At 36.0% G+C, this 12,462-nt stretch overlaps 1 protein-coding gene across 8 annotated transcripts in view; it reads right to left on the bottom strand.

Annotated features, from left to right (window-relative positions):
• Positions 1 to 12,462, bottom strand: part of COL19A1 (collagen type XIX alpha 1 chain) — a 345,913-nt gene that overhangs the window by 187,350 nt on the left and 146,101 nt on the right. For 5 of the 8 annotated variants that reach the window (NM_001858.6, XM_011535437.3, XM_017010253.2 and 2 more), the window contains one exon: positions 1,439 to 1,492. The exons of the other annotated variants lie outside the window; for them this stretch is intronic. In NM_001858.6, coding sequence (NP_001849.2) covers positions 1,439 to 1,492 — 54 coding nt within the window. The remainder of the gene's footprint in view (positions 1 to 1,438; positions 1,493 to 12,462) is intronic. 8 annotated transcript variants of the gene reach the window in all.

Below are 12,462 nucleotides of genomic sequence, written 5' to 3'. Positions count from 1 at the left end.
GCGGAGGTTGCAGTGAGCCGAGATCATGCCACTGCCACTGCACTCCAGCCTGGGGGAAAGAGCAAGACTCCGTCTCAAAAAAAAAAAAAAAAGAATCTATCCCAAGTCCATCACTTTTACAGACTCTGAGAAGTGATCTGCTCTTCTGTGACAGAACTGGAAGACAAACTGGACCCTGGCTTTCTACTCCAGAACTCATCCCACTTCACCACGTGCCTCCAATGACAGGAGTAAGAGGTGAGTCAGTTACTCTATTTAAACATGTGTGACATTCAGTGTCCTGATGTATTACAGGTGGTAAAGAAGATGCAGAGACTCCCATAGCTACAAGCCACTGGGGCTAGTGCCTATTCTCTGGTGTAGAAAAATCACTTCAAAGGGAGAGAAATAAGAATGATGGTGAAACAACTATTATTTTAGTTAACATACATAGAAACATTAACTACTATTACTACTAGGGTCTTTCTTTTTTGGGAGACTCCACACACACACACCCACACACCCACACACACACACACACACACACACACACACACGACTTTCTCCACAGGCCGGAAAGATTGGTCTTCAGCCTCTCTTCCGCTGTAATGATCTCCTGCATACAAAATGGGTTTCTGAACACATCTAGGGCATTAGGGAGCTAGATATAGTCTCACAGTTTTTCCTTATTCTTTTATAAGTCATGTGGCCCTTCAGGTCCTTTCCAAAACATATTTATGTAAGTGAGAAAAGGAAGCCGAGGGAAAAACTAATTCTCATTTTGGACACTTCCCCTACCAGTAAAGATAACAAATCTATAGTAAATGGTGAGTAAATGTAAATAAAATTACATTTCAGAGTGAAACCCACATTTGGGCCATCCTTCAAATTTTATCCTAAAATCTGGAGTGCAATTCTGGGAGGATAACCATCCTGAGGGGAAGGGGAGAAGATGACTGGGGTCCTAGGATATCACAGGCAATGTTATCCCTGAGGCTGTGGAACTGGTGCCATGGAGGGGAGCAATACGGAGTTAGTTTCCCTTCACTTCGCCCTTTCTTCCCATCACTGAAAGCCTACCAATACAGACGCCATCTATAGACTAGATGGAGATTTGGACTGAGATGAAAAGTGAACCACTGATAAGAGCACAAGCCATGGCAGAAGATATGTAAGATGAAAAAAGACAGAAAAAAAAGACTAGAAAATTTGCAAGCAAGAAACGTCAAGGAGAAAGGCCTGTTAAGGCTAAGCACAGGTAGAAAATACATAAAGCCAATGAAATGAAACTAAAAACACTGGGCCTCTACTGAGCCATGTGAAAGAACACCATGATTCTTAATTTTGTTGGATCATGGCTGGCTGGCTCTGCCAAAAATAGGCAAATCTTAATAGCATTAAATAGCATATCTTAGTGGTAAAATGTAAACAGAGTATCAGAAAAAAGAGTTAGGCTTACATTTTCTCCATTAAGGCCAGCCAGAGCTGGATCTCCTTTTTCTCCTTGTTCACCCTAAAAAGAAACAATTTATACAATGAAAAATCTTATATCTGAAAACCTTTGCTAGCAAAAAATAAAGTTATGTTGGTTGGGTATTTATAACAATATGATTACTTTGCTAAACCCTTGAAAGGCACGTTTATTAAAAAACAATCCTGAGTCGTAAAACCAAACAGAAGTTTAAAAGTTCGAAGAAAAGCTGCAGCCAGGTGCAGTGGTTCACACCTGTAATCCTAGCACTTTGGGAGGCCGAGGCCGGTGGATCAGTTGAGGTCAGGATTTCGAGACCAGCCTGACCAACACGGTGAAACCTGTCCCTACTAAAAATACAAAAAAAATTAGCCAGGCATGGTGGCACGCGCCTGTAGTCCCAGCTACTCAGGAGGCTGAGGCAGAAGAATTGCTTGAACCTGGGAGGCGGAGGTTGCAGTGAGCCAAGATCATGCCATTGCACTCCAGCCTGGGTAAGAGAGCAAAACTCCATCTCAAAAAAAAAAAAAAAAAATAGCTGCATAAAAATGATTAAACCATAAAAATGGAACAAGAATATTTTCTTCTATAAGCAACAAAGAACTTTCTGGAAGGTGATTTGGATTGACAATATATACCAAGGATCTCATATCCATTCATTTCATTTGGGCCAGTGATTTCACTTCTAAAAATGTATACTAATGAAATAATCAGAGATAAAATAATCAGAAATGAAAAAATCAGAGATGAAAAATTTTAGGCACTAAATGTAGAGTGTAATGCTATTTATAGTAGTAAAAAAAGAGAAGCATCCTAACTGTCCAATAATAGGAAACTAGTTAATGATATAGAGACAACGAATGGATTATGACGTAGCCATTAAAATCACATTTGTGAATTTTATTTTATACTAGAGAAAAATGTTCATGATATAAAAAGCAAGATACAGTTAATAAATAGACAAACCCAGTGGATAAATGTTAACCAATATATATTTCTATTAAAGTTACAAATGTTCAGAATGGTCACTAATACCACTGTGGATGATACATACTCATAGTGACATATAATTTTGTTTTCTTGCCACCTGAAAAGTGTATACTTCTATTGTCCCACCCTGCATATAGTATAATACAATTTTTGAAAATGCCTTTCTACATATCCAGCTGTCTACCTACCTACCTGCACACCATCTACCCACAGGTCTTAGAAACAACACTGTGAGAAAACAAATCAAAGTAATAAAAGTGGTTAATCTATGCATTGTGATTACAGATGATTTTTTTCCTTCACTTTACTCCTGTTTTTAAATTTTTTTTCTAGTGATAAATACGTATTAGCTGTACAATCAGTAAGGTGTTTAAAAATAAAAGAATATGTATAGAAAGTACTCAACCAAGTGTATCCCTCTGCGTATGTCTGTGTGTGTCTGTGAAGTTAGTAGTAGTAATAATCTTTGCCTTATTCTCTTCTTTATATTTTCTGTTTTTCTTCCTTCATTTTTCCTACAATGAACATTATCATTTTATTTGCAAAAAAGTAAAGAAAAGCAAGCACCTGATATTAATAGATAATACATTACAGAAATACCTTTGCACACTCTCAATTGCCTAAGGATATGTATTATTACTGTATGGAAAGCATAGGAAATGAAGTAAAAAATAACGTAATCACTGGGACATAAGAAACGCATACAATATACAAAACAAACAAAACTGCATACAAACACAACCAGTAAAAATAGGTTTAAGTTAAAATAAAGCTGAGGATTTTAAGCTAAAAATGGAAGGGTAAGGAATTACTCTATAGAATTGTGCTGTCCGATACAGCAGCCACTAGCCACATGTGGCTACTAAAATTAAAACTAAATTAAATTAAATGTAAAATTCAGTTCCTCAGTTCAGTTGCCCTAGCTACATTTCAAGTGCTCAACCATGCCTACTATATTAGACTGTGCAGATCAGAACATTTCCATCATCACGATAAATTCCATCCATTGGACATTGCTGTTGTAGAGGATGTCAAATATGACAGGAAGCAAAATAAGAATTAAAAGGCTCACAAATACACAGAAGAAAATATCTTTCTAATAAGGGGATCAGAAACAATAAAGTGTTAATACCAATACAAAATATGTTCAGGATAAGTTATTAGAGTGAATAGAAATTTTTGACACAGAAGACACATATAATTCCATGGATACCAATATTAACTCCCAGAATGTAACTAAAAATGGATATAGTCTTTATGCAAAAGTAATGATTCTCATAGATGGTAAGAATAAGCAACTCTACATATTAAAGAGATGTGTGTGTACAAGGAAATCTGCAAGCTTGACAGTGGTAATAAAACTAAATAAAAATAATATAGAGAACAGAGTTAATATTCTGATGAAATTTATGCTGCATAGCAAGAGAATAACAGATGTGGCAGAAGACTAAAGAAGAAACATACTGCTTAAAATTGATTCCTAGCAAAACTCCGCAATGGATTTTAAAAAGCATACTTTTTAACATATAAAAATAAGTTACTGTAGTGAAATAAGGTTCATTAAAATTTATTTGATTTATTGTTGTCATTTTTATAAAACGCTCATTCAATATTTATTATGTGCTCAAACCAGGGATATCCAACAATTCAATGTATCTGGATTTCCATAAAGTAGGAGTCAATGTCTCTTAAAATGCCCTTCAGGGTAAAGAATAGAATATAGGTAAAGAATAAAAATATAGGCTGGAAAATATTACTATTGGTATGTAACTGGCAGAAAAATGGTATTCAATGAATATCTATCTTCTATACATTTATCTATTGATCTATCAACTATGCATCCATCCATCTATCATCTCTTAAGGTCCCTTAATCTCAGTACAATTGACAATTCTTTGTTGTGGGGGCAGTCCTGTACATTGTAGGATGGTTAGTATCATCCTTGCTCTCTGCTCACTAAAAGCCAGTAGCCAGCCTCTCCCCTAGTCCTGGAAAATAAAAAATGTCTGCAGACATTGCCAAATGTTCCTAGAGGGCAAAATCACCTCTGATTGAGAACCACTGATATATAGCATGAATATATATGTAACAGATTTATGATATAAAATCCTACAACATATCAAAGCAATATGCTGTAATAAACAACTTGAAATTTATTAGGAACAAATGTGCAATCCTGCATTTAAGTTAATTCTGGATGGATTAGAAAACCAACTTAAAAATAAAAATATTAAAGGACCAGAAGAAAATATAGGTGAACTTAGATAAAAGCTCATGGTGAGTAAGGCATCTCTAAGCATGAAACCAAAAAAAGAAATTCATAAGAGAAAAATATATATATCTGACAAAATATTATGAACCTGTAAGGCAAAAATACTATCAACTGAATTAAAAGACAAATAACAAATTGGGGGAAAATATCATGTAGTGGTTTAATAGTTAACATCAATATGCAAAGATATTTTGTGTTGCGTTGCAATATATTCATAAGAAATATAATAATAGTCCAATTGGTAGTTGAGCAAAGAACACATCAGGCAATTTACCACAAGAAATTCTAGATGGCAATTAATAATATTTTAACTAGTATTAAATAATCAGACTATATACTGGGACTAGAAGAACTCTAAAGCTTTCCCATATAAAATTCTATCACTCTTGAAAGAAAAGCAATAGGAGTTCTATATCTGGAAGGAAATATGTATTGATATCTATGTATTCACAAGTGTTGCATATTTAATAAATTCCAAACAATAGAAAATTGACAATAGTAACCAGCTGTTCCTTTTTTCTCCACTGAGAAGAAAATAAGCAAAAACAAAACTGCAGCATTAAAGATTTAAGCTAGAATTAAAGAAAACTTATTTGACATCAGAGGTTGTAGAGAGTAGAATGCATTTAGATTGTTTCTTGTGTTTGAATAAGTTGAAAAGCAGAAAAGATTTGAAAACAAAACCAACAATACATCTGTGGTGATTTCTTTACAAATAAAATAAATCATTCTAGTCTAATAAAAACTTCAACGAAATCCTAACCAAAGGAAAAAGAATGCATGGGAATTAGATTACATTTATGATTTTCCCAATAGCCATTCTATGATAAAACTAATTTCAAAAAGTACCAGAATTTAATGTTCTTCCAAACAAAACTGCAATGTCTTGTCATATGAAATATTATATTCTTAAGTAGTGAACTTACTGGTTCAAGTTAAGTAGTGAACTTGAATATAATATTCAAAAATATTATACATAAAATTTGAATTAGTCTATTATCCATAATGCAGGTAGTTATTAATATTACTAATCTTTCAATAGATAATAGCAATAATATAGTAGCTTTTGTTCTCTATACCTTACTACATGCCAGGCCCTGTGCTAAGCACCTTACATAATAAGGACTTTTAATTCTAGCAGTAACCACACAAAGTGGGTAATCTCATCCCCATTTACAGATGATAAATCAATAGCTCAGAGGATATCAATAACTTCCATACAATCAAAGAACTCCATCTATTATCCTAAGTTATTTCCTCAATTACTTTGACTGCATAGGGACTTTTGTAAACTGGTTCAATTTCATCTTCTACCATATGCCCCTAGGACTACTTCAGCTTTTAGCTGAAGCTGGTGGTAGAAAATTCCTGTGGAGTTTTGGATGCTGTCAATATTTCACCTCAAGCCCAATCCTCCCCATTACTTTTCATTTTCTGCCTCTGGGATTTTTCTGAAGCCAGAGAGTTTGTTCAGCCCTGGCAAGGTATCCTGGAAAAATGGGGGTAGTTAATGCTTCTAGAAATAATTCTCCAGCAAAGGGTGACAGGAATTAGTGGATTAATGTGTCAGCTTTCTGTTCTACAGAGGGATAATTTCCAGGCACATTCTACAGGCTTCCTCAGAGGATTTCCAGTAGGACTCAGCTGCAGTTACCCACAATGATACGTAGCTCAAAACATGCACCCTTTAATTATCTTTCCCTTGTTTCCTGACTTATTTTCCCCATTCCGTCACTCCTGTATCCTGAGCTCCCTCTCAAATCAACTACCTGACCTAAAGTCATTGTCTCGGACCTTGTTTCAGGGGAATGCAAGTGAAGACAATGTCTATCAGCCCCCAATGCCTTCACTTTTGTCCATCCATGATCTGTCATTCCAAGTGTTTTGTTACCACCACTCTAAACACCCTTGCTCTACTAGCTTTCTGATGGAGCTAACTCCAGTGAATCAAACTGTCCACCTCTTGTTCCTAGAGAAAAAATATACAATTGGGTAGACTGGTATTATTATAAATTCATGATCACTAACCTAATTCTAGGTCCTTAAAGAGTGCCATTCCCCTCAAATCCTTGGTATTATGACTTCTGCTTTTACTCTCAAAAACCTTGCTTTCTACCAAGAAAAAAGAAGCCATCATACAAGCCTTTCCTTGATGCCATGAAATCTACAAATTCACTTATTTTAAAACCATTCTTTACTCTTCTACATGGAACAATTATTCCTTACTGTTTAATGGTAATCTTTCAACCTGTGTTTTCAATCCTATCTTTTTCTGCTCCCTCATTATGGCCCTCTTCTGAATCTTCAGCCTTTTCTCCCTCACTTCTTTCTAACCACACTGAAACATGCTGTTGAATCTTCTGTTAAAACAAAATCTTGCACTTCTATATCCTGTCATTTCCAGCTTCACCTGGAAGGAAATCCTTCCTTTTTCAGATAAACTTCTTGAGCCAGGCTCCCAATACTCCTGTTTGCATTCATTACTCCCACTCACTCTGCAGTTCACTCCAGATTGACTTGTACCTTATTTGGTCCTCAAAAACTGCTCATGCCAAGGTCTTGGGTGACCACCATCAGACACCTTTTAGTCTTTTTCTTCCTTAACCTATCTGAAGCATTTGATATCTTTATGACAAGCCCCCTCCTAGAAATACTTACTTGCTGTGATACTATATTTCCTTCATTTTTATTCTACCTCTGTAGCTGCATTTACTCATTTTCATTTTTGCTAGATCCTCTAAGTGTTGCTGCTCCACAGGGATCTGTCCCAGCTTCTTATGTTTTCCCTTTCAACAAACTTTCCCTAGATGTTTTCTCTACTTTTACAGCTACAATGATCATCTATATGCTAATGAGTCTCATGTTCCTACTTCCAGCATAGATATCTTTTTTATTGTTTAGCTAACAGTTTTATTAAGGTATGATTTACTTGCCATAATACTGATACACTGTACATGTAGGGTGCAATAGTTTTAGTAAATTTATATAGGTCTGCACCCATCACCACAACCTAAGACTAAAATACTTCCATCACCTAAAAAAGTTTCCTTGTGCCCATTTGTAGTCAACTGCTTCTCACTCTTGTAGTCCCAGAAAACTACTGACATAGTTTTTGTCTCTATAGTTTTGCTTTTTTCTAGAAATTTCATATAAATAGAATTATACAATATGTAGCCTTTTTTGTCTAGCTTAATTGATTCAACATTATGCTTTTGAGTTTACCCATGTTGCATGGCTAAGTAGTTTGTTTCTTTTTGAGTAGTATCATTTATGTGGGTACACCATATTTTATTTATTAATTCACCAGTTTCTTATTTTTAGATATTCTAAATAATGCTGCCATGAACAATAAAATAAACATCTTTTTGTGGACACAGATTTTTACTTTTCTTAGGTAAATACCCAGGAGTTCAATTGCTAGGTCATAATAGGTAAGTATGTGTTTAACTTTCTAGGAAATTCCCAAACCAGTTTCCAAAGTGCCATTTTACATTCCCATCAGCAGTGTATTAGGGTTCCTGATTTCCACATATTCTCACCAATTTTGTCAATCTTTTTGATTATAGCCATTTTAGTGGATGTATAGTATTTCATTGTGGCTTTAATTTGCATTTTCTTAATGATTAATGATCATTTCCTCTGCTTGTTAGACATTCACATATCTTCTTTGAAGAATCATCTATTTAAATCTTTTTTCCATTTTTAGTTTGCCTTCTTATTTGTGAGTTGTAAAAGTTCTTTATGTATTATTGATACAAGTCATTTATCAGATATATAATTTGCAAATACTTGCTCCCAGAATATGGTTTGGTTATTTTATTCTTGAAATAATATTTTTAAATTTAAAAAAATTTAACAGCTTTATTGAGGTGTAACCAGCATACAATAAGTTTCACATATTTAACGTACACAAATTTGATGAGTTTTGACACATGCAAACAGCCATGAAACCATCATAACAATTAAAATAACAAACATTTCCATGTTTGCTTTGTTTTGTTTTGTTTTTTTTTTTTCATGTGTTTTTTTTTTTTTTTTTTATTATACTCTAAGTTTTAGGGTACATGTGCACATTGTGCAGGTTAGTTACATATGTATACATGTGCCATGCTTGTGCGCTGCACCCACTAATGTGTCATCTAGCATTAGGTATATCTCCCAATGCTATCCCTCCCCCCTCCCCCGACCCCACCACAGTCCCCAGAGTGTGATATTCCCCTTCCTGTGTCCATGTGATCTCATTGTTCAATTCCCACCTATGAGTGAGAATATGCGGTGTTTGGTTTTTTGTTCTTGCGATAGTTTACTGAGAATGATGGTTTCCAATTTCATCCATGTCCCTACAAAGGATATGAACTCATCATTTTTTATGGCTGCATAGTATTCCATGGTGTATATGTGCCACATTTTCTTAATCCAGTCTATCATTGTTGGACATTTGGGTTGGTTCCAAGTCTTTGCTATTGTGAATAGTGCCGCAATAAACATACGTGTGCATGTGTCTTTATAGCAGCATGATTTATACTCATTTGGGTATATACCCAGTAATGGGATGGCTGGGTCAAATGGTATTTCTAGTTCTAGATCCCTGAGGAATCGCCACACTGACTTCCACAATGGTTGAACTAGTTTACAGTCCCACCAACAGTGTAAAAGTGTTTCCTATTTCTCCACATCCTCTCCAGCACCTGTTGTTTCCTGACTTTTTAATGATTGCCATTCTAACTGGTGTGAGATGATATCTCATAGTGGTTTTGATTTGCATTTCTCTGATGGCCAGTGATGATGAGCATTTCTTCATGTGTTTTTTGGCTGCATAAATGTCTTCTTTTGAGAAGTGTCTGTTCATGTCCTTCGCCCACTTTTTGATGGGGTTGTTTGTTTTTTTCTTGTAAATTTGTTTGAGTTCATTGTAGATTCTGGATATTAGCCCTTTGTCAGATGAGTAGGTTGCAAAAATTTTCTCCCATGTTGTAGGTTGCCTGTTCACTCTGATGGTAGTTTCTTTTGCTGTGCAGAAGCTCTTTAGTTTAATTAGATCCCATTTGTCAATTTTGTCTTTTGTTGCCATTGCTTTTGGTGTTTTGGACATGAAGTCCTTGCCCACGCCTATGTCCTGAATGGTAATGCCTAGGTTTTCTTCTAGGGTTTTTATGGTTTTAGGTTTAACGTTTAAATCTTTAATCCATCTTGAATTGATTTTTGTATAAGGTGTAAGGAAGGGATCCAGTTTCAGCTTTCTACATATGGCTAGCCAGTTTTCCCAGCACCATTTATTAAATAGGGAATCCTTTCCCCATTGCTTGTTTTTCTCAGGTTTGTCAAAGATCAGATAGTTGTAGATATGCGGCATTATTTCTGAGGGCTCTGTTCTGTTCCATTGATCTATATCTCTGTTTTTGTACCAGTACCATGCTGTTTTGGTTACTGTAGCCTTGTAGTATAGTTTGAAGTCAGGTAGTGTGATGCCTCCAGCTTTGTTCTTTTGGCTTAGGATTGACTTGGCGATGCGGGCTCTTTTTTGGTTCCATATGAACTTTAAAGTAGTTTTTTCCAATTCTGTGAAGAAAGTCATTGGTAGCTTGATGGGGATGGCATTGAATCTGTAAATTACCTTGGGCAGTATGGCCATTTTCACGATATTGATTCTTCCTACCCATGAGCATGGAATGTTCTTCCATTTATTTGTCTCCTCTTTTATTTCCTTGAGCAGTGGTTTGTAGTTCTCCTTGAAGAGGTCCTTCACATCCCTTGTAAGTTGGATTCCTAGGTATTTTATTCTCTTTGAAGCAATTGTGAATGGGAGTTCACCCATGATTTGGCTCTCTGTTTGTCTGTTGTTGGTGTATAAGAATGCTTGTGATTTTTGTACATTGATTTTGTATCCTGAGACTTTGCTGAAGTTGCTTATCAGCTTAAGGAGATTTTGGGCTGAGACGATGGGGTTTTCTAGATAAACAATCATGTCGTCTGCAAACAGGGACAATTTGACTTCCTCTTTTCCTAATTGAATACCCTTTATTTCCTTCTCCTGCCTGATTGCCCTGGCCAGAACTTCCAACACTATGTTGAATAGGAGCGGTGAGAGAGGGCATCCCTGTCTTGTGCCGGTTTTCAAAGGGAATGCTTCCAGTTTTTGCCCATTCAGTATGATATTGGCTGTGGGTTTGTCATAGATAGCTCTTATTATTTTGAAATACATCCCATCAATACCTAATTTATTGAGAGTTTTTAGCATGAAGGGTTGTTGAATTTTGTCAAAGGCTTTTTCTGCATCTATTGAGATAATCATGTGGTTTTTGTCTTTGGCTCTGTTTATATGCTGGATTACATTTATTGATTTGCGTATATTGAACCAGCCTTGCATCCCAGGGATGAAGCCCACTTGATCATGGTGGATAAGCTTTTTGATGTGCTGCTGGATTCGGTTTGCCAGTATTTTATTGAGGATTTTTGCATCAATGTTCATCAAGGATATTGGTCTAAAATTCTCTTTTTTGGTTGTGTCTCTGCCCGGCTTTGGTATCAGAATGATGCTGGCCTCATAAAATGAGTTAGGGAGGATTCCCTCTTTTTCTATTGATTGGAATAGTTTCAGAAGGAATGGTACCAGTTCCTCCTTGTACCTCTGGTAGAATTCGGCTGTGAATCCATCTGGTCCTGGACTCTTTTTGGTTGGTAAACTATTGATTATTGCCACAATTTCAGAGCCTGTTATTGGTCGATTCAGAGATTCAACTTCTTCCTGGTTTAGTCTTGGGAGAGTGTATGTGTCGAGGAATGTATCCATTTCTTCTAGATTTTCTAGTTTATTTGTGTAGAGGTGTTTGTAGTATTCTCTGATGGTAGTTTGTATTTCTGTGGGATCGGTGGTGATATCCCCTTTATCATTTTTTATTTTGTCTATTTGATTCTTCTCTCTTTTTTTCTTTATTAGTCTTGCTAGCGGTCTATCAATTTTGTTGATCCTTTCAAAAAACCAGCTCCTGGATTCATTGATTTTTTGAAGGGTTTTTTGTGTCTCTATTTCCTTCAGTTCTGCTCTGATTTTAGTTATTTCTTGCCTTCTGCTAGCTTTTGAATGTGTTTGCTCTTGCTTTTCTAGTTCTTTTAATTGTGATGTTAGGGTGTCAATTTTGGATCTTTCCTGCTTTCTCTTGTAGGCATTTAGTGCTATAAATTTCCCTCTACACACTGCTTTGAATGCGTCCCAGAGATTCTGGTATGTGGTGTCTTTGTTCTCGTTGGTTTCAAAGAACATCTTTATTTCTGCCTTCATTTCGTTATGTACCCAGTAGTCATTCAGGAGCAGGTTGTTCAGTTTCCATGTAGTTGAGCGGCTTTGAGTGAGATTCTTAATCCTGAGTTCTAGTTTGATTGCACTGTGGTCTGAGAGATAGTTTGTTATAATTTCTGTTCTTTTACATTTGCTGAGGAGAGCTTTACTTCCAACTATGTGGTCAATTTTGGAATAGGTGTGGTGTGGTGCTGAAAAAAATGTATATTCTGTTGATTTGGGGTGGAGAGTTCTGTAGATGTCTATTAGGTCTGCTTGGTGCAGAGCTGAGTTCAATTCCTGGGTATCCTTGTTGACTTTCTGTCTCGTTGATCTGTCTAATGTTGACAGTGGGGTGTTAAAGTCTCCCATTATTAATGTGTGGGAGTCTAAGTCTCTTTGTAGGTGACTGAGGACTTGCTTTATGAATCTGGGTGCTCCTGTATTGGGTGCATAAATATTTAGGATAGTTAG

The sequence above is a fragment of the Homo sapiens genome, chromosome 6 (assembly GCF_000001405.40).
Source record: "Homo sapiens chromosome 6, GRCh38.p14 Primary Assembly".
Lineage (NCBI taxonomy): Eukaryota > Metazoa > Chordata > Mammalia > Primates > Hominidae > Homo > Homo sapiens.
Note: the sequence above shows the minus strand (reverse complement) of the source record. Positions and strands in the feature narration are given on the sequence as shown.